The sequence below is a fragment of the Homo sapiens genome, chromosome 5, assembly GCF_000001405.40.
Source record: "Homo sapiens chromosome 5, GRCh38.p14 Primary Assembly".
Taxonomy (NCBI): Eukaryota; Metazoa; Chordata; class Mammalia; order Primates; family Hominidae; genus Homo; species Homo sapiens.
The window spans coordinates 154,436,651-154,462,451 of record NC_000005.10 but is presented as its reverse complement, the minus strand read 5'-3'; the positions used below and the strand labels follow the sequence as shown (position 1 = coordinate 154,462,451).

Sequence of the window (25,801 nt, the reverse complement as noted above, 5' to 3'; positions counted from 1 at the left end):
TCAGGAGGCTGAGGCAGGAGAATGGCATGAACCCGGGAGGCGGAGCTTGCAGTGAGCCGAGACTGCGCCACTGCACTCCAGCCTAGGTGAAAAAGTGAGACTCCGTCTCAAAAAAAAAAAAAAAAAAGAAAAAAAAGAATGGGAGGATGGCAGAGGAGGGGAAGCAACTACTTATGCTAAGAAACACAGTATGAAAACTGGAACTTCCTTTGCTTTCTAAAGCAACTCAGGGACCCTGTAAATGATGGTGTCCTTCAGCAACAATCCATCACTAATTCTGTGAGCTCCTTGGTGAGAGCCAGGACTTCCTGTCCTCTCAAATATCTCATGAAAAGCCACCCTCCACACTCCTTACAGGGGAGTGGAATGGGAGAGGAGAAGGATGTGGGAAGGAAAGGATCTGCACTTTTAAAATTTCTGTAAGGCTTAAAATTTTAGAGCTAAGATGTATTACTTCTATGTAACTAATATGATAAAGACAAATATTTATTGCACTTCTCCCTTTTCATTCTGCTGAGGACAAAGCTGTGGTAAAGTGGCACTAGAGACAGGCTTGAAGTGGGAGACCTGAACTTGAGGCTTGCCTTTCTCTTCTCTAGCACTGTGAGGACAGGCGAGAGGCGTCATCCGGTAGCCTCAGGGACCTCCACCAGGAACGTGCAGTCATACTGCCCTGGCTTCTCAAGCTGTAGTATCCCTAGGGAATTTGCTACTATGCAGATTCTGATTCAGTAGACGGCCAGCAGGAGGGGCTGGGAGATTCTGCATTTCCAACAAGTGCCCAGATGATGGACCAACTTTAAATAGCAAGACTCTACTGTAGGTGAAGAAACTCCAGGTCACACGCTGTTAAAAATGTCTTTGAGACATTTAAACATTGGGATGTTTACATGAAGATCTGAATTTCCAGCTTCTCCAGTCAAATTGCAAGACCCGGTCACACAGGGCTGGTGTGCCCATAAGGCTACAGTAGCGGGGAGCTGAGTAGTGGCTGCCCTTAGAAGGGACCTGAGTTTTCCAGTTTGCAGCTCACCCTCTGCAGATATTTCAATGTGCAATCAATCCTCCATACAGTTTATTTAGATGGAGAACTGAAGACCCAGAGAGAGAACTCTATTTGCCCAGTGCATCCAGTACACTACATGGAAGTTGAGCTCCAGACTCAGGCTGTTGGACCCAGTCAGTCTCTTTCCAGGTGAGTGAATGGGATAGCAGTACTGGAACTTGGGCCTAACCTTCTGGGATCTAAACTCAGTGTGCACTGGGGATGTAGGTGCTAGTATTTGGAGCTGGGAGGAAAGACCACTGTCATTAATCACTGTAATACACTGCCAGGGGCCAAATGTGGAAGTGAAAGCATCTGAATTCTATATAAAAATTCAAAGGGAAGACAGAGGGTCTCTTACTCATTCAGATTATTTATTAAGAGCAAAAGTCGGGCCATCCCATCGTGTGATATTGCAACATGAAAAGTCACATACATACTAAGGAGACCCCACAGAATTGAGAGCCTTTCAACAGTACAGAGCCATAGATTACGAAGTTAAAATACAAATGATCCCCCAGATTTGGCAGGAAACAAGTACAATATGAGGAGGCCTGGAATGGAAGGGCACTTACTTTTCAATAAGGCAGTTACAAAATGGGAAAAAAAACCCCCAAAACCTTGTACCCCAAAATATACTCTGATGAGCGTAGCAGACAATAGAAATGTAAAAGAAGGATCCTGTATAACCCTCTGTCATTGGCAAATGTGTGCATTAAGTGAAAGCAACTGAAGGGTTTGTGTTTTAAGATGCAAGCTAGATGAAACAACTGACTGTAGACATTTCTACCTCAAGAACAGTTCATATCTTGCCCTAGGCTGGGTTCTACCTCAAAACACCAGACCCACTTTACCATTTCTAACCATAAACTTGGAAACAGTCTATAATACAATGAAAGGAATAAAAAGGCACCCCTAGAGCACCATGCTTCCCAAGGCATGATCTTGAGCTCATCTGCCCTTCGGTTCGACTGCCCAGCTCAGTAACAGGGACCAGGAGCCAGGGCCAGCTGAATTACACAACCTCAAAGGATCGCCTGGAAGGCAGATATCTGACCAAGAGATCACAGACCAAGCACATTTCATGAGAATTTAAATGCTAGGACAATACTACCTCTCCCAATAGGGCTTTTGAACCCTGGTTTTAAATAACAGGCTAGATCTGTTTTCCCTTACCACTCATTTTGCAAAACTCAACTGGCCTAAACATTTCGCTCAATCTTGAGTTCTGCAGGTTGGTCCCTGAGAGCTAGGTTGGCCTTGGGAATTTCTGCTCAATTTTAAGTTCTCAAGAATCTGAGGGCAGCCGATTTAGACTGAATTAGAGTCATCCTATAGGTCAGAAAGAAAGAATGCTAGACAGGTCAAGAGGGCCAGAGGTTGGTTCTGATAATGCCATATGACCTCAGGCACATCTTTTTGAGTTTTAGTTTCCCCATCTCTAAAAACGGATGATTGGACAACAGCAAGCTTAACAGACTTTCCACCTTGAAAATACGGCACTTCTCTGACGCTTAGACCTTAAGTCCTGAAGCGTTGTTTTCTCAGCAAAAACAGTGCAAAGTCCTTACAGGAATCTAAGGTACAAGCCCTGGGCAACCATGAAAACTTTAAACTTCATGCAAAGCAACGAAGTTATAAATCCTCCAGCTGAACAATTTCCTGATGATGTGAGCATCCGTTTTTGTGGGGCAAGCACAGAACTGAGTCCTCATCTGTCTGAGGTTTAGCAGGCTGCTAACATCTTCTCATCCCCCTCTCCTCTCCCCAAGCTTTGGCAGAAACAAGCCAGCCAGTAGGGTTTTCTCAACATTCTCCAACAAGGAACTGAGTGGACTAATACTCAGGGGTAAGGACAGTGTACCAAAGTGTCCATGTCCTAGCATTGTTTCTTTCCAAAAGGCAAACGCTATGCTTTGGGACAGTGCCAGCAATTAGGTGCTTTGCCAAAAATAACTTGTCCCATGTGGCCCCCATGGGGCAGAGACTAAGATGGAAATTACAGAGAACATAGAAAAGCCAGAGGTTTACAAAGAACAGGCTTCTCCACGAGGTAGTGGGTTCTCTGTCCTCGGAGGTGTTTAAGTCCAGACTGCTCAACCCCTTGGTGGGATGGTTGTAGGCAGAATGTCAGCACCTATGTGGAGACTAGACTGGATGACTTAACAGCCCTTTCCCAACTTTGAGATCCTGTCATTGTAATGACTGAGAGCGCCTTTGGATGACTTCCATGAAGCAACTGCTCTGGGCAACAGCCTCCCTCAATAGGCAAGGCCCCCAGAGTAAGCTCCTTCTTCCATCCTCTCCCTCCCAACAGGCAGTTGCCCTGCAGGATATTAACAAAAAGCTTCCCACAAAATAAAAAGCCTAAACACCAAAATTAGATGCAACACTGCAGCTGCAAACAATTGTTACTATCTGTTCTCTGAAAGGCTAGCAGTGACTATTTAGCTATGACAGGAACATCTAAAAACTTGGCAGCTGTAACATGTAAGTAAAATTCCTCTTCATTTTACAACACCGGTCTTGAATCCTTTGGTTTTTAATCTTTCATGAGATTCAGCTGTGATCTTTTTTTTTATATGCTGTTGCCAACCTAAGAGTTTGTTCCTTGAAGCAAGAAGTTTGTCCATTGGTTTTTAAAACATCTTAAAACAACATGAATGGCAGGATACTGATGTTTCCATGTGAGAACCTTCAGGGCATATCAAAGAACCATACCAGGCTGGAACTGAGGCAGGAACCATACTCTTTAAGAAGACAACGCCAGTTCTGGATTTCAAATTCCAGTTTTGCCCAGAAGCACCAAGAGGAAAGAAGGCAATGCTGCTACGTCACAGGTGGAGAGAAGCGCAAGAGTCCTTGATGGATGGTATAAAAATGGAGCAGCCAAGATGAACATTGCTTTCCCCACACCCCACTGCTCCCTGAAGCCAGACCCCGTTGCTCTGGAGGGCCTGGCCACTTCTCACAGGCAGGAGTCCCTTGCCCACAGATAGAGCCACCAGAAACTGCAGAAGAGGCTAAGGCGAGTGGTTTAGTGGTTTGATGAAAGAACAGATTTCTGGACATAAGAAAAACATAGGTTCAAATAGCTTTGTCTTTTCTCTCACCTGACCTGTTGAAAGGTCAGATTGAAAAGGTTGAAAAGATGCCCACAACCTCCACTTTCCACAAGCACCTCTCCTTAGAGGAAAGACAAGGGACCCAAGTACACACACAGCATCTGGCTGAAGGTAAAACATTTCCCCAGGTTTCGCTTTGGAATAAAGATTCTTTCAGACACAATTGAACAGATGGATCCTACCATCATATATTCTTGTGCAGAAGCTATTGTCTCTCTCAACTGGGAAAACAGATTTGCTGCTAAAGAAATAGTGATGTGACCTACACGCCCACAATTCTGGTTTACGTATCAGAAAAATACACTTTTTTACTCATTAAGATATGGACATTTCCATGGAGCAAGTTAACAATGCCTTAACCTGCAGGCCCCATCTGCCCCTCAGCCTTCTTGATGCCTGTATCAACATCCTTCAGCTGTAAGCAGGGAGAGAATCTCTAAACACATAGTGAATGTGAATGACTGAAAACACTCACAGAGCACTGGACATGCCATCCACAGCCAGGAGGCATACCAAAATAGGATGCCCTCACAGTCCAGAGTATATTCTATATACAACCATTTATATATATTTAATTTAAAAGGCTGCAATCTGCTAGACATGCATTTTGAACACAGGCGAAAGCTTTGCTGCAATGGAACATACTGCATTTTAGTGAGCGTGGTGACCCTGTCCCCATTCCACAGAAAGCGTGGTACTCTGCTCCACAGAACTGAGACCTTTGGACACTCCGCCGCCCTGCTCAGTAGGGGGTTTAGTCCTGACTTCTCTGTGATGGTGCTCAGATTAAGTCATCTGTGAAACTCTCTGCCAGGCCAGGCTGTCCATTGTTCTTATTATTTAAGGCTTAAGAAATTAACTCAGAATTGAAACTGAGTAGGAAAATGACACCTTTGACCATATGTCAAGATGGTCATAAATTAGAATCCAAATTCTTTTCTTTTCTTTCTCCCACCCTCCTACCCCATACCCTCTGCCCTCCATTACACAGATTAAAGAATTTTGCAAAAGCACATTTTTGGATATAAAGCTTTGTTTTCACAGGATACTTTGGCTCTGATATAATTAGATTGAGGAGTTCAACGTTTTGAACAACAAAAAAATTAGGTAATTTTCAAAAATTATTTTAGCAATCTTTCTCCCTAAGAGGGAGGCAAATTGTTCACAAAAATGAGCATCAGATGGAATTGACCTTTGTTGCCCAAACTCATGATTTGCTGATGACCAGAGCCCAGGGAGTCAAGGCCAGCCAGACTTTCAATCCTAAGCTGAACTTCTGGGCAGGAATCACATGGCCCCTGGCAGCTTGCATGGTGGTTGTGAACTTAGGATGAAAACTTCTAAAAATACTTGCCCCAACCTACTAAATATGTCAGTGTGTCAATGCATTTATTACCAAGAAGCTTGGCTGAAGTCATAATATCTAACTGCACCCCAAAGAGTGAAGCATAGTGGGGTGCATAAGGGACCGTATCTTCTGTGAGGGTCTCTATATCAGTGTTTCTGGAACCTCAACGAATAGTTTTGCACATGCAACTGTCCTGAAATCCTTATCTGATCAGAAACTTCCTTGTTGGTGCATCAGGATTTCCTCCACATTCTAGCAGTTAAGTGGTGAGCAACAGAAATGGCAGAGGTCTCAGTCATGAGAGGTGTGAAGCGGATGTTACAAGGCTGGCACTATTAGTGACAGCTCAATTAGCCAATACCTACTGATTGAGTGCCTACTGTGTACAAGGCACAGGGTGAGTGAGGGGGACCAGTGTCAAACTGATCTGCTGATAAATGACAAAGCTTGCAACAAAGCGGGCGGGATATCTATGTCGCCAGCGGGCAGCATGCAAGTCCAGATGTGGGTCTGCTCATGCACTTCCATGGCCAATTGCACCTTGCTGCTATTCCAAGCTACAGCTCACACGTGGCAGCCTGGTGGATAAGGTGATTACCAAAATATTTCTTATCCCACATTTCCAGTAGAATTGATTTAATGCTTTGTTGAATGCTGAAATACATAGTTTTTAATTCTTTTAATGATCCTGATTTTTTTAGTCCAGAGTTATCGTAAAAGAAAGTCTTTCTATACACATGCTGAATCATGAGAATATAATCCTCCTGACCAAAAAGATTTACAGTATTCATCATTCAAACTTTTTTATTTACAATAATATTTAACAGTCTTTATGGGCTTAAATGTAGTAGATATCACCTGTGCATCAAGCATTACACTTCATTCCTTTAAGATGTGCTTCATCCTCACTCAAGCTGCTTGCCACCCTCCGATTTCTGGTCCAGTCTACTCTTGTTACTCTTCACCATGTAGATGAAGTAGGCAAGGGTCTCTTTTTCATTCACAGGTATGTTCCTGAAGTGTCGACTCACAGTCTATGTGGGGGGAAAATACCAAAGTTCCTTAAACCATGCACAAATCACACCGCAAATTCTACATTGTACAAAGAAGCGAATGGAGTTGTTTGCATGCTGTGGCGGGAATGACAAATGCTGAAGAACTTCCTGCCATGTGCGGAACTCAGAGTGCCCTTTGCCCTTCCTCCCCAGGGATGTAGGTGGTTTAATTTCCAGGATCCAAAAGTGGCTTTTTAACCTACAACTCTTCCAAGGTGCAGTTCTATTTCAGTGGCAGCCAACCACCTGTCATGGCATGATTTCACAGTCATACTCATGGAGGAGAGACTGGGACTGCTCTGGTTGGCCAGCTGCTACCAAACCTCTCAGGCCTTGAAAGTGGGAAGAAATGTGTCTTTAAAAAATTGTGGGGCAGGCGTGGTGGCTCACACCTATAATCCCAATGCTTTGGGAGGTTAAGGTGGGAGGATTAGTTGAGGCCAGGAGTTCGAGACCAGCCTAGGCAACACAGTGGAGAACTCATCTCTACCAAAAAATTAGCCAGGTGTCGTAGCATGCACCTGTGGTCCCAGCTACTCAGGAGGCTGAGGTGGGAGGATCACTTGAGCCCAGGAGGTTGAAGCTGCAGTGAGCTGTGACTGCACCCCAGCCTAGGAGACAGAGCAAGACCTTGTCTCAAAAACAAATAAAAATTGGGTTAGGCTGGGGATGGTGGCTCACACCTGTAATCCTAGCACTTTGGGAGGCCAAGGCAGGCAGATCACCTGAAGTCAGGAGTCCGAGACCAGCCTGGCCAACATGGTGAAACCCAGCCTCTACTAAAAATACAAAGATTAGCCGGGTGTGGTGACAGGCACCTGTAATCCCAGCCACTCGGGAAACATGGAGAAGAATCACTTGAACCCGGGAGGTGGAGGCTGTGGTGAGCTGAGATCATAGCAATGCACTCCAGCCTGGGAGATAGAGCAAGACTCTGTCTTTAAAAAAAAAAAAAAATTGTGTTAAATGAACAGCCAATTGAACAAATTGAACAGAGGCATCTGAACCCCAAAATTCTTCTAAGTAGTGCATAACTGCCTCCTGAAAGACATATCAGGTTTGAAGGAAAATGCATCATTTACTAATGCTCCTAATACTTCATTCCATAAGTAATGAGAATGCAGGTCTCCTCTTGCCCCACCTCATTCTTTCCCTTCCACCAGGGAGAACACTGGCAAATGGGTGATGTTATTTTAAAGTAGGAGAGGCTTCTGACCTCCTGTGTGTCATCTGGACACTGGTGAAGGAGTTGTTTAAGAAAAAGTGACGGTCGAGCAAGAAACCTCTAAAGGAAAAACCAAAAATGAAACAGGCTGGAAGCCTTTCAGGAAATCTCAATGGATCAAGGTGGCTGAAACAGATAAAAAAAGACAGAGAACTAGACATAAAGAGTGGTTATCTCTGGATGATAGAATTATATTTTTCTTTTCTCCATTTTCCAACTTTTCTGTAATAGGCAGAAAAATATATTAAGAAAAGAGGGATTAGAAAATACCTGCAGAAATGACAAAGACAGAATTATCAAGCCAGGCAGTTCATGTATTTTAAAAATGGCCAGTGGAGCATTTCCCCGTAATCCAAACTGTGTTAATAACTCAGGGCAGGAGAAAACTTTCTTGGGTGCCATTCATTAAAATACTGTCATTACCAACACCAGAGTAGGAGAAATCAAGGAAAAAAAAATAGCTCCTGTAGAACATCAAGGTTTTGAAATGATTAATCTGACACACAAAATGATCATATCTAAAAAGCATTTTGCTAAGCCAGGCACAGTGGCTCACGCCTGTAATCTCAGCACTTTGGGAGGCTGAGGTGGAAGGATGGCTTGAGCCAAAGAGAATCACTTGAGCAACATAGTGAGGCTGCATCTCTATAAAAATAAAATTAGCTGTGCATAGGGGTGTGCACCTGTGGTCCTAGCTACTCTGGAGGCTGAGGTGGGAAGGATCACTTGAAGCTGGGAGGTTGGGGCTGCAGTCAGCCCAGACTGAGCCACTGCACTCTAGCCTGGGTGATAAAGCAAAATCTTGTCTCCAAAAAAACAAAAAGAGGAATCTTCCAAAAAAGATTCAAACAAATGAACACTCAGGACTTAGAATCTGGAGTCATGAGATCCCAGGCTCAATTCTGCTATCAACTTGCTGTGTGATTTTAAGCAAATCCTTTCCTCTTTCTGTGCCATGGTTTCTTTTCTGGAACTGAGGCCTTTGCAGGTCTAAAGCTGTGGGGTTCTAAATTGCCAAAGAGGAATACAGAGTTGCTTCCAGAACTCTGGAGGAAATTACAATTAGCAGACACACAAGGTAAGGGAGAATCAGGGTAACCATCAGAAGCAGCACAATGCTGGCTCTCTTTAGAGGGCAATTTTGTCTACCTACTTCTGCTAACTGGGCCTTATTGAAGCCTGGTCTGGTCTGCAACTTGTAGTGTCGTTTATAACGTCGTAGGGTGTTCACCTGCAGCTGGAACAGATCAACCTAGGGAGAAGAGGAGAAAAATGTTATCCATCACCTGACCACCCAGGACTCACCAAGAGCCCACTATGTGCCTAGCACTACACTAAGGTAGGGGTGAGGATGGGGAGGGCTTCAAAAGAGGTCTTAGAAATGGTCTATTGAGGACTAGTAACTGGCTAGGAGGGCAAAAATAACAGTAGAAAAACAGTTCTGGCTGGGGTGGGCTGATCTCACAAAACTGGTGGAAAAGGTAAAGCTTAAGCTAAGGAGGAGCAGGGTCTGATAAAGCACTGAGAAACGGTAGGGAATAGGGGAAAAGATCACAGCACAGAGAGCTGGGAGAGGCACAGATGGGCAAGGGGGTCACAGGCAACTGTGATGAATTTAAAAGGTGAGAATGGATGGTAGCACATCCAGAAAAACAGAAGGAGCTATCACAGAGGGTGGAGGGCGATGGCGCAGGATGGGTCTGGTGGTGGTTGTTGGGAAGACTGATGGGGGGATACGGAGGGAGATGCTATAGCAACAATCAGAATGAGATGAAGAGGCTGAGCTTTGGAGGGGCAGTGATGCTAGAAGGGACACCAAAGATGGAGAGCAAAGGCAAAAACCAGAGACATCCTGGAGGATGATAGGCCAGAACGAGGCAGCGACCGGATAGAGGAGCACAAAGGAGGGCTGTTATCCTCAAATAGCTCTTTGCTAGGCCCAGCCTTCTGGTATTAGAATCCTTAACCTCCCTCCAGAGAAAGTTCAAAAGTTACTGTAGTGAATGTGCAATCCAGCAGGTTAGGGCTGGGGTCTTTGCAGATGACTGGATAACAGAGGGGAAGGGACCCCCCCTTTTTGTTTCTAACAAAGGAAGAGAGGAAAGCTGCATAGTCATGAAAAATTGAAGGCCCATAAAGTTGGGCTGCCTTTACCTGCCTCTAAAAGAGCTGTTCTTGCTTCAGGCAGGTGGAGAGCACTTAAAAACAAAATGAATGATCAATATGAGGGGCCAAAGTCCTTCATTCTTTTTCAAAACATTCCTCAAAACCTTTTTTTTTTTTTTTTTGGTGAAAACCACTTAGAAATCGAATACGTCCATTTCTTTGTAAAATAACAATAACGTTAAAGGCAAAAGCAAGATTCTGTAAACCAACATTGGAAAAGGGGACACAGGGAGGGGCAGAGGGAAAGGGCCAGATTTTCAACGGTTTCCTCCACATCTGCAGACAAAGGCCCGCCTACTCTTTCTATTCCTACACAGTCATTTTCACTCTGAGTGCTAACAGGCGGTTGCCTTATGAAATATTCATGTGTCAAATATTCAATGTACACTATAAACGGTTCTTCTCTTGCTGAGTCTTGAGTGAAAACAATTTAGTAGAAAGAAAATCCAATATTCCTTCCTGAAGCCTCACTTAATAGACACGGGCACCTGAAGGGAAGGCAGCCTTCCAGTTTGAGAAGCCTAGGTCTCATGGTCTAGCGCAGTGGTTCTCAACACAGGACGATTTTGTCTTGTAAAGGAGGTGTGGCAATGTCTGGAGACACGTTTTGATTGTCATGACTCAGGGTGGTGATGGGTAGAATCTCACGAGGGGATGCTGCTGAGGCATGCTGTTAAATATCCTACAATGCAGAGGACAGTCCCCACAACAAAAATTAGCTGACCCCAAATGTCAACAGTGCTAGAGTTGAGAAAACCGGGTCCAGTTTAGTCAACTTTGAAATGGATCCTTGGGAACAGCCTGGACTAGATGTCAAGAAATCAGTGAGAGAAAATCAGAGCTGGTATGAACTGATGACTTACACCTTCATTTTTTGGGGAAAAGACTTCTCCCAAACCATTATACACTCTCTAAAGGCATAAACAAGGTTTAAAAAAAAGTGACACTGTGGTTGTATTTACGCATTCGTCAGGGGCGTCTTGCAGAAAAGCAGTGTGGTCTACTGGAAAGGGCCCTAGACTAGAGCCTCCAAACTATATACATGACCTCGGCTCTCTGTGCCTGTCTGTAAAATGATGGGGCAGTCTGACCAGTGGGTGTCCAAGCTTTTAGCTCTCAGATTCCATATTACTATAATTCACTTTTCAAATAATCCACAGCAAAACAAAAGGACTAAAATTACTTCTTAACACAAAAAGCAGACCAGGCCAGAGGTGAGAATCAGATTAGAATCCATTCTTCCAGCTTCCGCAACTGGTTTCTTTGACCTTTACCTCAGGAATGTCAGTGTCGTGCTCGGGAGAATCTCCGCCATCGTCACTTGTCTTCCTCTTCCTTTTATTTCGGACACTCTGGATGAAATTTTTGTGAAAATCACAGATATATAGGTGCCTTACCTGATGGAGACAAAAATCAAAGTCAGAGTTGGCCAATTCCTTGGAGACAGCAATAGGTATCTGTCGAATTGCGGGGCTTCCTTCCATTGCAGGGCATTGGAGAGATAGATGGAAGACAAGATGTAGGCCATCATTCCCAGAAGCTCACTACTGAGTTGCAGAACACAAAGAGAATGCTAACATCACACTTGGCAGCGTATCATACACCAAACTTCCAGTGAATGGTGAAGACAGTAAATGGTACAGATTCAGCAAAGGAAGAGATCCCTGCAACAGAGATGCTCAGGGTGAAGGGCCCTGACTAAAAGGGAGGACTTTAGGCAGACAGGAAGCATTCCAGATGGGTAGGAGTGCCAAGACTTTAGAGTTTCCAATGGAGGATGACAGAAAGAGTGAGGAGGCCCAGGGTACAGTGTCAGTTGGGTGATGATGGCTGCCCATGTAGGAGCATAATGAAAAAGTGAGGCATCAGGGGGGTGGGCATGAGAACAGCTTAGACTTTCCTTCCGACAAGACAGAGTCCCTCAAGGAAGCAGGAAGTGATGTGACATTTTTAGAAGACCTGTAGGAGTCATAAACTTATAGTCGACTGGAATGTACTGTCCTGGGGAGGAGGAAAGCAGGACACAAGGGACTGTTGCAACGGTATTTGGGACACTCTATTTTTACAATTACAATAGCTACTATTGTAGGATAATAACTCTTTGAAAAACTTTGTTTCTATGTGTCAATTTATAATTCTTGCATTATCTCACATCTGATCCACAAAGAAAAGTGGAAAAAGATGTGGAAGTTCTTACAAGGTAGAACCACATACAAGAAGGTGGATACTACAGATTTTCTAATACAGGCTGGAGGCACACTGGTAAGTGAAGGTGGCAGCAACAGCTAAGACATGAAGAATCCTCCAAGGCTGGCTGGAGGAACCACTGAAAAACTTTACAGAAACTGAATGCCCAGCAAATGACTTGGGGTTGTTGATACTGAAACAGCTGTTGCACAAATGTTCTGCAGAGACTTCTGAATTTGAGTTTATTCCTTAAATCCTTAAAGATAAAAGTAAGCTGGCAGGAAATCCGCATCAATTAATTCAGACCTTTTCATGGAGAAAATAATGAAAACTGTTTATTTATTTATTCAGATGAATGATCACTTTCATGTGGCTGGATTAGTGAGTCATAAGTACTTTTAAGTTTATACTGTGATGGTGTCTTGCAGACAGGAGGTACTCGAAAAATGTTGATGTACCAATATAGGAAGTCTCCTATATCTAAAAGTGGCTTAAGGCTAATGAAAGCCACCACTTAACATGGTTACAAACTGGGATAGCTTTGTCAGATTCAACTCTGTCAAAGGACTTTCAAACACAGCACATGCCACTGTCCCAAAGAATCCCACCTAGCTGATGTATATACTACTGGACATGCTTTTCTCCAGGAAGAAAGCACAACAAAGCACACTCTGCATCCCTGAGAGGAAGCTAGCCCTCCATGTTAGCTAGACTGGCGAGTCCACTCAGATCAACTGCTCCTCAAGTTCACAGTAACAAACTTCATAGGAGAACAGGGAGAATAGGTGGCTTCCTAAAGCTTTGGCTGGGAGATTTCAGATCAGGACAATAGAATAACGGAATCCTAGCTGTAAGAGAACTTAGCAATCACTAGTGCAATCCCATTGACCCCAATCCGTTTTCTAAATGGGTAAAATGAAGCCATCCAGAGTGAGGAAATGACCTGGCCAAGGTCACCCAGGCCTTCTGCCCCCCCAGTACATGTCTTTTCCTACTCCAGCATTTTCCTTTATACTATTCTCAACTTCCACTTTTCTCCAGGAAAAAAAAAGCAGAAATATGTCAACTGGAGGTATATTAGTATTTTAACAGATCACAGAACACTGCCAAAGTCTATATAAAATGAGTTAAACAGCCTGAATTGAATTTCTGGTGTTGTTATTTAAAAAGGTTCTCTGCTAGACTCTCTTACAAGATAAATAATCATTTTCTCCTTAACCATTTTCAAGTACATACTGGTTTTCAGAAATTTCAGAGCTCAGTGGCCTTTGGGAGTGGGGTTGGGGCAGGAGGGTGGTAGCAAAGGCTCTAGTTTTTTTTTTTCCTTCACTTTCTGCAATAGCTAAAAATTCTTGTAACATACCAGTTACCTGGAATTGAATTCCTGCCCAAGCCTGTGAGAAAGAAATAGAATCCCTTTCAGAAATAATGACTCCACAACACCACCTTAAAACAAATTTTGAGTGATTCCACCTGGAAACCTTACTACCTCAGAAGTATTACATTTTGGGAACACTAATGCTAGGCTCAGGCTGCCCTTCTTCTAGACAGTGTGTGTGAAATGATCAGCATAGCTCAACACAGGTTTTCCAGTACAGTCAATGGGTAAATAAAAGGAGTCCCAGTTGCAGCAGCAAAATCATTCAGATGGGAAGGCATCCAGTGATCTAAAAGGACTGGAAGATTCTTTTAAGGACTGGAAATTATTATTATAAGCTGCTCAAGTAAAGCAGCTTCTAACAACCTACACGGAAGGTAGGCAGTGTTTCTAAGTGGATGAATTCATTGCCATAAGCATTTCACCTCAACGTGTGACCTAAGGAGGGATCACCTTGGTGTCTAGACCCTTGTTTGTTCTCAGATATTTCCATTCATGCATTCATTGATAGAGATTTGTAGTAAGAAAGCCATTAACTCTCTCCCAACCACTTAAAAATAGCACCTGTCCATGCAAGAGCTGCAACTGTATTATAATGATTAACTTAAAAATGGGGGTAGGAGGGAAGAGTCTGAAGAAAGGACAGGGGCTGGGCGCAGTGGCTCACGCCTGTAATCCCAGAACTTTGGGAGGCCTAGGCGGGTGGATCATTTGAGGTCAGGAGTTCAAGACCAGCCTGTCCAACATGGCGAAACCCTATCTCCATTAAAAATACAAAAATCAGCCAGGCATGGCGGCAAACGCCTGTAATCCCAGCTATTCAGGAGGCTGAGGCAGGAGAATCGCTTCAACCCGGGAGGCGGAGGTTGCAGTGAGTCGAGATCTTGCCACTGCACTCCAGCCTGGGTGACAGAGTGAGACTCCGTCTCAAAAAAAAAAAAAAAAAAAAAAAAGAAAAAGAAAAAAAAAAGAAAAGAAAAAGGACAGGGGAGATTTTTTATTTATTAGAGACTTAATGAAGACTTATGTATAGGGCTTGGAAGTAAATTAGATAATATCTTTAAGAAATTAACCAGCCTCTTAGGTGCTGTGTGTACCTGACACCCTCACTTCCTATCTCTGGGCCTGTTTCAACCCTAAAATCAGAGGGGAAACGTGCACTCCCTTTCAGTTTAACAAGCAGTCTCTGATTTCCTCCAACTGTGGAGAAATTCTGATTCTAGAAGAGAATGGATGTTAACCACCTAAGCTCTTAGCTAGTCTACCTGAATATTAAATATCCCCTTAACTCATTTCCAATTCCTAATCATGAAGCAATCACTTAAGGCTTGTAGCAACAGATGTCAAACTAAAAAGTTCTTAATTGGTTGACAATAGGCACAGCTTCAGAATTGTTAACTAGAAGTGGTGAAGTCACACGGGAGGAGTTTCCTATAATAAGCCACAAAGAGCAGGGCAATCCGATTTAAATTTAAATATCCACCCCCTTATTTCAAAAGAAACTACCACTAAGAAAATTGATTTCTTTTCTTCCCCCCTCCAGTCACATCGACTGCAAGAGCCATTTCTCAAGACCTGGCCTTGGCCTTATTTCTGCCACATCCTAGAAAAACCCATTCCCACAGCTGCCTGCGAAGCAGCTAGCTCGGTGACCCTCTGCTGATACCGAGGATGCGGGAGCCAGGGAAGTAACTGCCACCTTTCTCTGTCTGAAGGAATAACAGGGTTCCTAGAAGGAGAGAGAAGTTGGAAAAGAGCCGGGTATCTTCATCACTCCCCGCTCCGATTCTTGCTCCTTCAAGGGCCAACAAAACTAACCCACCTCTCCCTGCTCTAAAGTCTAAACCAATAAAACAAGTTGGAAACTGCTGTCCAATCTTTCCAGGCAGCAGGAGTCCTGAAGCCCCCGCCCCCATCCTCCCGGATCTGGGTAGAATCACAGTCAGAGCATGTCAGCGCTGGAGCGGCCTTTGAAATGCGGAGTCCAACTCAGTTCTGCAGAGCCGGGGCGGCGAGGCCCACGGCGGGGAGTGCCCGGGGAGTCCCGACTGGAGCCCAGGGCAGCGGACGGAGAGCTGGGGGCGCCGGGGCCCAGACGCGAGCGGGGGCGGACTCACGCTCTTGTCGATGTCCAGCTTGAGTTTCTTCTGCGAGATGCTCTTCTGGACCCTCTTGCTGAAGGAGGCGTTGCCCGCGGGCCGGACGCAGCGCTCGCCGTCCTCGATGAGGCAGCAGCTCTGGCCGTAGCCCGGGGCGGCGGCAGCTGGGGCGGCGGGGGGCCCTTCGCGGCTGTCCTCCTCCGTGCTGAAGCCGTTCATCTCCCCGCCCCGGGCCGGTCCCTCTGGGGGAGGGTCCCCGGTAGGCCACTCCGCGGCCGCGCTTGCCGCGGGGCAGGTCGCTGAGACCCCCGCAGCCGAGGGTCCCAGAGTCCGTCTCCAGCCCGGGCGCTGCCCTGCCCCGCGTCCGAGAGGCCCGGCTCCCTCGGCCCCCGGCCCTCCGCCTCCGGAAGCCCCCTTCCTCCCGGCTCGAGGCCCCGGGGTCGGCTCCCGCGGCTCGCAGGGCCCCGCCGGGGGTCACCCGGAGGAGCCTTCTGCCGGGGGCCCAGAACCGTAACCCTGCAGCGGGGGTGTCCGGGAGGGCGTCCCAGGAAACAGCCGCTCCCCAAGGACTCCGGGCCTGGGTTGCCAGGGGGTTTCGAAGGCCCCTGCCGGCTCCCGCCTTCTTTCGGCAGCGGGGCAAACTCGCTGCCGGGCAGCTCCCCCGGGGTGGCGCGGCCTCCTCGCGCGGGGCCCGGCCTCGAACCCGCGGCACCCGGGCCCCGCGGCTCGTCCGGCCCACTCCACCCCTGCAGCCACTCGGCTGCGCCCCGAGTCCCGCGGCAGCCCCTGGGCCGCCCGGCCGCCGCCCGCCGAACGCTCCGCACCACAACAGTTCGCTCCCCCCGCCCTTCGCGGGACAGCGGAAGTCCCGCCTTCACGCGACCATTGGTCTCATTTGCTCTCTGGGCGGGGCTGCCGCCGCCGCTGGCGCGTCCCATTGGGCGTCGCCGCCGCCAGTCTCCGGCGCCAGGCTACTTCCTGGACTCTGCTGGGATGGGTTCAAAGTAGAGAAAGTGGAAGAGGAAAGAGTTACCCCAGCGAGAACCGGGAACCGGGCTGCAGACTCTCCGGCCCGGGGGAGGGATGGTGAGCAGGGGCCTGGCTGGACCGAGGGCCAGACTCCAGGAACAGAGGAACACATTCGGGGACAGACAGTAGAGACGCGGACGGGGACGCTGAGGGACAGACTTGGAGGAGGGGCATATGAGGGGACCTAAAGAGGATAGAGGTGCTATCAGGAGAGGGGCGGACTAATAAAATGAAAGGGCCAGGGCCAGAGGACTCGCGGATCCGTGGGAGGAAGGGTGGGTGAAATAGGACGGAAAGCCAGTCATGGCGGGAAAGACAGAGGGACAACCCCATACAGATACGTGGAAAGACATGCGGAGGAGGTGATGGGGGGATCTTGCAAGGCAGTCGCAATATTGGGGGTAGCCGATACCTTCCAGAGTGTGGAGAGTGGGACTGGCTTGGACGGCGCGGAAAGAAAAGGAGAGGGGGAAAGGAGACCCCGAGGGGTTTGGGCGACCCCTCCACTGGGAAGAATGGGAAGTCCGAATGAGGTCTGGAGGGTGGACTAGGTGAGCCGCGGGCAAGAGAAAGGGCTTCAGGGGAGATGAAGTGAAGGCTGGGAGTGGGGCCCAGGGGCCAATCTCGGAATCTAGATGGGGAAGGGCTGCGGTGTCTTGGGCTCTCCCTGGAGCTCCAAGCTGTAGTTCTATTGCTTTGAGTCCCCGGGTCTACCGGCGAAGCGACTGCGCCCTGCCAAGACCCTGCGCTTGGTTTCGGCGCCCAGGGCACCACCTCCCCTCCAGGAGGGGCCGTAGGATATGCTCTGGTCCAGCACTTCAGTCATGCCACTCTCCAACTGCGCAGCATGGGGACTGATGAGGTCCGAAAGGCGATGGGACCAGCCCAGGGTCGTGTAATTATGTAGGGCTGGGCAGCGTTTTATGGGCAGGGAAGAGGGGAGGCTGTGTTAGGTGATAGGTAAGCAAGTGTTAGTACTAGAGGGCATAGAAGGAGCTTCGGGTTTGTGTCCTGTTGTAAAAGGGAAAGCTACCAGTTTCCATGTTTAGAAGCAGGTGGCTGGTGATCTTAAGTTTTGCTCAGTGGCCATAAATGCATTTGTAGCATCTGAACTGGTAATTTCACACGTGGGACAGCCATCGTCGGAAATAGGCCTATCAGAGATAATATGAAGTACAGTGATGTTCATTATGGAATTATTTATAATAGGAAAAATAAAATAGAACCTCAGAGTTCCAAAAGGGAAGTGGTTAAGTAAACTACCTAAAATCTTCAGAAAGAGATTGTGCAGTTAGCATTTGAGGTAGTTTCAACATCAATGTAAACATTTTCTATAGAGAATAATTCACCATTAATTCTTAAATAAAGAGCTGATGAGGAGTTGGAGAAATGCTTTTTTTATGATAAGTAAAAAAATTCAGGATATGAAATTGCATGGAGGATACGATGTCTGTACATCTATGTTTAAAGAAAAAAGAAAACTATTGGTATAAAAAATGCACCAAAGTACTAACAGTGATTATTTCTGGGTAGCAGGAATATGGCTGATATTTTTCTCCTTTTGTTTAACCTTTGCATTTTCTTTAATAAGCATTATTTTTGTTTTTACAGTAGAAAAAATAGAATAAAAATTAATGGAAAAAAGGCACAGATTAATAGGAGTCTTCCCTCAGAGTTCATATATTCTGTTCAAAAGTAAATTGTTGTTGAACTCATTATGTATACCAAGTATAGGGTTGGCTATAGGAGGAGGATGAAACATAACCCTTGCCCTAAAAGAATATCTCCTATCTGGGGTGTTCAGACATATATGTAGAAAACACTTGGGTATCTGTACCAGGCACTGTGTGATGTTGGGTCCAAAGTCAGTTGGTATGGATGAAACCTCCATGTTCCCCATATTTTTCTAAACAGCATTTGTATTCAATGCTAGGCTATTGCGGTACACAACTTCTTCTGCACCAACTTGCCCTGGTCTAAGGGGATCTAGGACCTTTTCTTAGGTGCTCTGTCTCAGTCCTTGAGGTAGTGGCTACTTATATCTGCTATTCTTGTATTATTTAGCATTCTTTTTTCTTTTTACTAGGCAGTTCCTTATAACTGTAGGGGACTACAGTCCCCTATTATAATTAATACATGTTTATATTATTATTTTCCTGTTCAAATTACTGTAAGGTTACTCTTTCCTGATTACACCCAGCCTGATACGCCCAGCCAGCCTCTGTGTGTGTGTGTGTGTGTGGTGGTGGTGGTGGGGGAGTTCATGCTTGTAACTGTTCTTTTTTTTTCTTTTTTCTTTTTTCTTTTGAGACAGAGTTTCACTCTGGTTGCCCAGGCTGGAGTGCAATGGCGCGATCTCGGCTCACCGCAACCTCTGCCTCCCGGATTCAAGCGATTCTCCTGCTTCAGCCTCCCGAGTAGCTGGGATTACAGGCATGTACCACTGCTCCCGGCTAATCTTGTATTTTTAGTAGAGATGGGGTTTCTCCATGTTGGTCCGGCTGGTCTCGGACTCCCAACCTCAGGTGATCTGCCCGCCTCGGCCTCCCAAAGTGCTGGGATTACGGGTGTGAGCCACCGCTCCCAGCCATTCTTTATGTATAATTTTGTAGTCTTTATTCAAGGCATACTTTATCATAATCTTTCCCCATATTGCTATGTAGTTTTCACAGTTGCCATTTTTTATGTAGTACAGTGCAGTTTCTGTAGTACAGTACACTGTGGTGCTAAAGACAGTTGGCTTTGCTGTCAGAACTGGGTTCAGATCTGGACTCCACCCATGACTTGTTATAACATGTTAGCAATTATTTCACTTCTTGAGTCTGATGAAATAGGTGGTGACAAATTCTTAACACAGTGCCTAGAACATCATAAGTGGTTAATAAATGTCAGCTATCATGATTCCTACCGTAGTTACATTTGCCCCCCCAGAAGTTGGATATCTTTTTTGTGTGGTTCTGTATAATTATTTTTGAACATAAAACTTTTTATTATTTAGGATTATTATTTTTTCTGAGTGCCAGAGATGGAATTGTGGTCAAAGACTACAAAGTTTTCCAAGGTCTAAGGGCCAGGCTCACTGACCCTTTTTTTCTTTCCTGTCTTTTCTGCCCCTGCCCTCCCCACCTTCATTCCTTCCATCCAGTCAGGCCCCAGTTGAGAAGTTATCCCCCAACACGCCTTAAAGAATCAGAGTTGGATACCTTGGCCAAGCAGTCACAGTCCTACAAAAGCTCTTTGCTCTCCTCTTTCTCTCCTCTTTTCCCTTTTTGGGGAATGTGGCATATGGCTCTGGGAGTGATTTCCAATGACTGCCCTTCTTTGGGAACAGGTGGACACTTAGGTGTCCAGTGACTGGGTTTCTAATCCTTGAGTGGCCCCTGATTGTCTAATAGTGAATACTTGCTGGGTTAAGCCTGTGGCTCAAACTGTACTGGTCAGTTTCTCTCCAGCAAATCTGCTGGTTGGAACTGACAGGTGGTTGGTGGGAGTGGTTAGAGCAGAGGCACTAATGGTGGGTCCTGCCTCCTGTGTTCCCCAGGGCCTGGTAGTTGAGCTTGCCCTTGGGTTCTGTAAGGTACTCATAGATATGTTGGCATGAACCAAAAGTATCTGAGACAGGTCTCAATTTAGAAGGTTTATATTGCCAAGGCTAAGGACGTGCACGTGACACAGCCTCAGGAGGTCCTGACTACATGTGCCCAAGGTGGTTGGGATACAGCTTGCTTTTATACATTTTAGGGAGACATGAGACATCAGTCAATATGTACAAGATGTACATTGGTTCCATCTGGAAAGGCAGGACAACTTGATGCTGGGGCTTCCAGGTCATAGATAGATAAGAGACAAATGGTTGCATTCTTTTGAGTCTTTGCTCAGCGTTTCACTGAATATACAATTTACATGTGGGGAAGGGGTGAGGTGGGTGGTAGAGGAATAGTCATTTATGCCTTTGTCTCAGTGGATCTGCATTTTTACATAAACAACAGGGCAGAAGAAGCAATCAGATATTCATTTGTCTCAGGTGAGCAGAGGGATGACTTTGAGTTCTGTCCTTTGTCCCACACCTATGAAGATAAGCTATCCATTTACATTGCCAGGGTGAAATTCAACAGAACTGTTTTAGGGTAAAGATCTTGATGCCCACAAGGAATTTCCTTGTGGGCAAATTGTGAGGGAGGTCTGTAGCTTTTTTATCTTTGTAGCTATCTAACTTAGGAATAAAATAAGAGGTAGGTTTGCCTGATGCAGTTTCCAGCTTGACTCTTCCCTTTGCCTTAGTGATTTTGGTGTCCCGAGATTCATTTTCCTTTCACATTGTTCTGAGACTGGAAGTTCTGCAAGGACAGGGAACTGTCTCTATGGCTCATCATAGTTTCCAGTGCCCAGGCACTTGATTAATATTTGTTGAATGGATGGATAGATGGATGATGGATGACTTGGCCTCTGGAATCAAGAGGCAGTACAGCATAATGGTTGGTATAAATCTAGATGTAGTCAGCTTATGCTGGAATCCTGGCTCTGCCACTGACTAGCCTGGGAACCTTGGGAAAATTACATGGCCTTAGTCTGCCATGGTTTCCTCATCTGTAAAATGGGGATGATAGTAACCTCTCGGGATTGTTGTGAAGACTGTCTGAGTTATTAGATATAAACCAACTATTAGATATAAAAGTGCCTTGCACATATTAGGTACTCAATAAATATTAGATACTATTATTGGCTTAATTAGTCATAATTAGGTTTAGCAAGTAACAGAAAACCCAAAAATAAGCTTACATTTTTCTCTCACCTTCAGGAATCCTAGAGGTGATCAGATTGTTTTCCTCAGCATCAGAGACCGAGGCTTCTCTTGTTGCTTTGCCATGTTTGGCTTCCATTCCCAAGGTCGCGTCACTAAGCAAGGTGGCTGCTGGGACTCCCATCTACTGAGGCATTCTAGCCAGGAGGAAGGGGGAAAGGCAGAGGAAGGGCTCACCCTTGCTCTTTAAGGATAGTTCCCAGAAGTTGTAGGTGAGCCTCCCACTTGTACCTCTTTGGCCAGAATTTCGCCATACCTAACGGGGGAGGGGAACATTGGGAAATGTAGCCCTTATTCCTGGTGGCTGTATGCTCAGGTGAAAACAGAGGGCTCTGCTACACGTGGAGATGGGTGGAATGTATATGGAGCCCAACCAGCTGCTCTGCTATACCTCTTTTTAGAATTTCCCCATCTCTTAAATTCTGGGAGTGTGTCTTGGTTAATTTTGGTTCTGTTTCTCTGGAGAACACTGACTAATCTGGGCTGCAAAGACCTGTAGTTTTTTGATCCAGGGACCACTGCAGCCTCAGCATTTTGCCATTTCTCAAGTTTCTGAATTTTTTTTTTTTTTTTTGAGACGGAGTCTCACTCCGTTGCCAAGGCTGGAATGGGGTGGCGCAGTCTTGGCTCACTGCAACCTCCATTTCCTGGGTTCAAACGATTCTCCTGCCACAGCCTTCTGAGTAGCTGGGATTACAGGCACCCGCCACCACGCCTGGCTAATTTTTGTATTTTTAGTAGAGATGGGTTTCACCATGTTGTCCAGGCTGGTCTCGAACTCCTGGCCTTAAGTGATCCACTCACCTTGGCCTCCCAAAGTGCTGGGATTACAGGTGTGAGCCACCGCACTGGCTGTTTCTGAATCTTAACAATGTTCTCTGCAGCTTGCATTGCAAGAACTGGTACTGACTCCAACAGAGTATCACCCAGTCTTTAAAGGAAAGATTTACAGGTTTCAAACCTAGCTCTACATCACAATCACATAGGGAACTGTAAAAAAAATTACAAAAATCTCAGGCCTCATCTCAGACCTCCTAAATAAAATCTTGGTGGAAAGAGTATGAGGCTCTGAAATCTACATTTTAATACACATTAATTTAATCTATGGATGATTCTTAATGCACCTTAAAGTTTAAGACACCCTGCTTTAAAGGTTAAAGTATGTAATAAATCTTCATTGGAGGCAATTACCTCTTCTAGTCTAGCCTACTCACTTTCTTTCAAACATATGTATTTTCTTATATCTACTCTTTTGCTTACAGTGATCCCTGACTTAGACTCACTGGCTGTGAGACTTAGAAAGGGTCTTAGGAAGCCAATCCTTTATTTAAGCCTATCGGATTTGAGTTCAGCAAGGTTGAGCAACAAGTCCAAGCACACACAGTGATTAGTGGCTATTAGGATTGAGAAGGTATATGGTGACAGCATTTGCTGGGATTATCTTTAAAATCTCCTTCCCCCCAAATTAAGAGGTTATACACAATAAGGGGTTATACACAATTTATTTTGCCAAGTTAGGGCAGTTCCCTCTATAGCCTCTACATGCTCCACCCCATGTCTAGGTATTGGCCTTCAGGGCTGGGTACACTTGCATTCTCTCCATATCCTTTCCCTAGCTGATACTAGGTTTCCTTACAACCACCATATGCTAATGTCTCCCGTCAATAAATATCTGAAGACTTGTGTGCAAAACGACAGATTTGAAAGTGAAATAGATTGGTTGCCATTAGCAATATTTGGGAAAAATTCTGGTCTCTTTATTGGGGGAGTAAATCTGTAACTCCAGAAAGGAAATGGGAATAAATATTCTGTAGTGAAGAAATGAATACAGAACAGAAGCTTCTATGATCCTTGTTCTGCTTTGTGTAGGATTTAAGGTTCTTGAAATAGCCAAGTGAATCTGATTTGCTACATTTATACATTTAGGTAATTAATTTACAACAGTTGCTTAAATGCTTAGAAAGGTTTTGCTTTTTAGATTTGTAAGTCTGCCCTATTGGGCATTTAAAGTGAGAAAATCAGGCATATTAAATTGATAATTGTAGTTTTAAGTGTCTAAGGAAATTTGATTAAGGAGGTAAGTCTTATTAAATATTAAGGAGGATTGAATATACTAAACTTAAGAATTAACAGTAATCAAAGAACAAGTGAAAGTGATTGTTCTTATCTTTACACAAGAAATTGCTAGATTTAAAATGGAATAACAAGATTTTGTTCTTATCTTTATACAAGAAATTACTAGATTTAAAATGGAATAACAAGATTTGTAAATTGAACTTAAAGTTTAAGAAAGGCTAGGTTTTTAAATGGACAACTTGAGTCAGTGACTGTAAGATTCCTGTCCATACCCAAACCTACCCCCAGATATTTAAAGGCACAGGTCAATAACTCCCAGTTTTATAGTTCCAGCTGAGACCTCTCCTTTGAACTCCAGACAGCAACACTTCAGCTCCTTGCTTGAGGTGCTCCAGAGGCATCACAGACCAAGATGTTCAAGTTGAAACATTCTCTGACTCCGAATCCAGACTCCATAAACTGTGCCACCTGTACCTCCTTTAACTGCCTCTCACCACATCCTGAGGCCACTCATCATTGAGGCCATTTTCTTTCTTTCTTTCTTTCTTTTTTTCATATTTTTGAGATGGAGTCTCGCTTTGTTGCCAGGCTGGAGTGCAGTGACGCGATCTCAGCTCACTGCAACCTCCGCCTCACGGGTTCAAGCGAGTCTCCTGCCTCAGCCTCCCGAGTAGCTGGAATCACAGGCGCGTGCCACCACACCCACCTAATGTTTGCATTTTTAGTAAAGACGGGGTTTCACCATGTTGGCCAGGATGGTCTCGATCTCTTGACTTCGTGATCTGCCCACCTCGGCCTCCCAAAGTGCTGAGATTACAGGTGTGAGCCACCACGCCCGGCCGAGGCCATTTTCTTCTACCTCCAATAGATACATTTAGAATCTGTCTCTTTTACTTCATTTCCCACAGCTAACAGTCCATTCCAGGCCACCATCACACCATCATCTTTTGCCTGAAGTGCATAAGCCTCCAACTTGGTCCCTAAACTTCTCTACCCAGTGAGCTCTACACAAACCAGACCATGCTCCCTCCCCATTAAGGCCCCTCACAGCTTCCCAGTGCATTCTGACAGTGCTCTCTGCACCTCTTCGCCCTGTCCCACAATGCATGAGCTCTCTTATTCTTTTTTTTATGAGACAGGGTCTCACTCTGTTGCCCAGCCCAGATTGTAGTGGTGCAATCATAGCTCACAACAGCCTTGACATCCTGGGCTCAAGCGATACCCCCATCTCAGCCTCCTGAGTAGCTGGGACTACAGGCATGCGCTACCACGCTTGGCTAATTTTTTGTATTGTTTGGAGAGAGGGGTTTCCCTGTGTTGCCCAGGCTGGTCTTAAACTCCTGGGCTCAAGTGATCCACCCACCTCAGGCTCCCAAAGTGCTGGGATTAGAAGTGTGATTCATGCCTGGCGTTTTGTTTTGTTTTGTTTTGTTTTTTTTGAGACAGGATCTCACTCTGTTACCCAGGCTGGAGTGCAGCACTATGATTATAGCTCACTGCAGCCTCCAACTCCTGGGCTCAAGTGATCCTCCTGTAGCTGTAGTCTCCCAAGTAGCTGGGACTACAGGCACATGCTACCATGCCCAGCTAATTTTTAATTTTTTTTTTATAGAGATAGGGGTGTGCCTGTGTTGCCTAGGCTGGTCTCAAAAAATTCCTGGGCTCAAGCAGTTCTCCCACCTCACCCTCCCAAAGTGCTGGGATTATAGGTGTGAACCACGGCACTGGGCCTGCCTTATTCTTCCTTAAATTTCTCAAGTAAGCCATCCTTTTTCCTACCTCAAAGTCTTGCATTTGCAGTTTCCTTGGCCTGGAATGCTGTTTCCTTCCTACTGGCTTCATTCTTCAAATCTCAACTTAAATGTCACCTCCACAGAGAACCTTATCTGATTAAAAGGAGTTGGATCCCCCACGACCACCACTATTCTCTATCCAATGTCTTTTCTTATTAGCATTTATCATAATATGCAATTATTCTGTTTGTTTTGTTGTTCCTCAAGTGTTTCTTCTATTAGAATGTAAGCTCCCTGAAGGCAAAAACCACATCTATCTTGTTCCTGTAGTTCCAATGCATAGAACACAAATTCTCCGATTCTGGTGGCTAATAGAGTAGGGACTCAGTAAACATTTTAAAAATAAAATAAATGTACTCAACTATACCAAAAGATTTATTAAGCAAAAAAGGTAAGATACAAAACAGTATGTAGTGTGGAATTCCATTTATATTTTGTAAAAATTTTGTGCAGACACACACACACACGTGCATG

General features: G+C 45.3%; 1 protein-coding gene and 1 long non-coding RNA gene across 6 annotated transcripts in view, besides 5 other annotated features; one reads left to right on the top strand and one right to left on the bottom strand.

Moving 5' to 3' along the window:
* Positions 1–1,398: 1,398 nt before the first annotated feature.
* Positions 1,399–16,455, bottom strand: SAP30L (SAP30 like). Of its 5 annotated transcripts, NR_024084.2 has the most exons (5): positions 15,647–16,455; positions 11,239–11,361; positions 9,953–9,996; positions 8,952–9,050; positions 1,399–6,552 (listed from the first exon to the last, which is right to left on the bottom strand). NR_024084.2 is itself a non-coding variant. In NM_024632.6 (4 exons), exons 1-4 carry the CDS (start codon positions 15,845–15,847, stop codon positions 6,424–6,426), a joined length of 552 nt encoding a protein of 183 aa, NP_078908.1. In that variant the 5' UTR covers positions 15,848–16,455; the 3' UTR covers positions 1,399–6,423. The 5 variants fall into 5 exon arrangements, 4 of the variants coding, with proteins under 4 accessions (NP_078908.1, NP_001124534.1, NP_001124535.1 ...); NM_024632.6 differs by lacking the exon at positions 9,953–9,996; XM_047417709.1 differs by lacking the exon at positions 1,399–6,552 and having other exon boundaries at positions 8,998–9,050; positions 9,957–9,996.
* Positions 15,812–15,921: a silencer, noted in NCBI's record as "silent region_16542". NCBI's record gives its function as "represses an Ori minimal core promoter by ATAC-STARR-seq in GM12878 lymphoblastoid cells {active_cell/tissue: GM12878}" and the evidence as "EXISTENCE:reporter gene assay evidence [ECO:0000049][PMID:35858748]".
* Positions 16,052–16,581: a silencer, noted in NCBI's record as "silent region_16541". NCBI's record gives its function as "represses an Ori minimal core promoter by ATAC-STARR-seq in GM12878 lymphoblastoid cells {active_cell/tissue: GM12878}" and the evidence as "EXISTENCE:reporter gene assay evidence [ECO:0000049][PMID:35858748]".
* Positions 16,052–16,658: a biological region, named in NCBI's record as "H3K27ac hESC enhancer GRCh37_chr5:153825354-153825854".
* Positions 16,158–16,658: an enhancer, noted in NCBI's record as "H3K27ac hESC enhancer chr5:153825354-153825854 (GRCh37/hg19 assembly coordinates)". NCBI's record gives its function as "activates a minimal SCP1, AML or CMV promoter by ChIP-STARR-seq in primed H9 embryonic stem cells {active_cell/tissue: H9 hESC(primed)}" and the evidence as "EXISTENCE:reporter gene assay evidence [ECO:0000049][PMID:30033119]".
* The window catches only part of SAP30L-AS1 (SAP30L and GALNT10 antisense RNA 1), a 56,054-nt gene continuing 46,882 nt past the window's right edge, over positions 16,630–25,801 (top strand). Inside the window, exons 1-2 of the long non-coding RNA NR_037897.1 lie at positions 16,630–16,714; positions 18,972–19,090. This is a non-coding gene — a long non-coding RNA (SAP30L and GALNT10 antisense RNA 1). The remainder of the gene's footprint in view (positions 16,715–18,971; positions 19,091–25,801) is intronic.
* Positions 16,712–16,831: an enhancer, noted in NCBI's record as "active region_23477". NCBI's record gives its function as "activates an Ori minimal core promoter by ATAC-STARR-seq in GM12878 lymphoblastoid cells {active_cell/tissue: GM12878}" and the evidence as "EXISTENCE:reporter gene assay evidence [ECO:0000049][PMID:35858748]".

Coding starts and splice junctions, on each gene's coding strand:
- SAP30L (NM_024632.6), bottom strand. CDS start 15,847: ATGAACGGCTTCAGCACGGAGGAGGACAGCCGCGAAGGGCCCCCCGCC. Junction 9,051..11,238: donor ACGACACTGACATTCCTGAG/GTAAAGGTCAAA, acceptor TCTTCTCCCTAG/GTTGATCTGTTCCAGCTGCA. Junction 6,553..8,951: donor ATAAGGCCCAGTTAGCAGAA/GTAGGTAGACAA, acceptor CCCCCCACATAG/ACTGTGAGTCGACACTTCAG.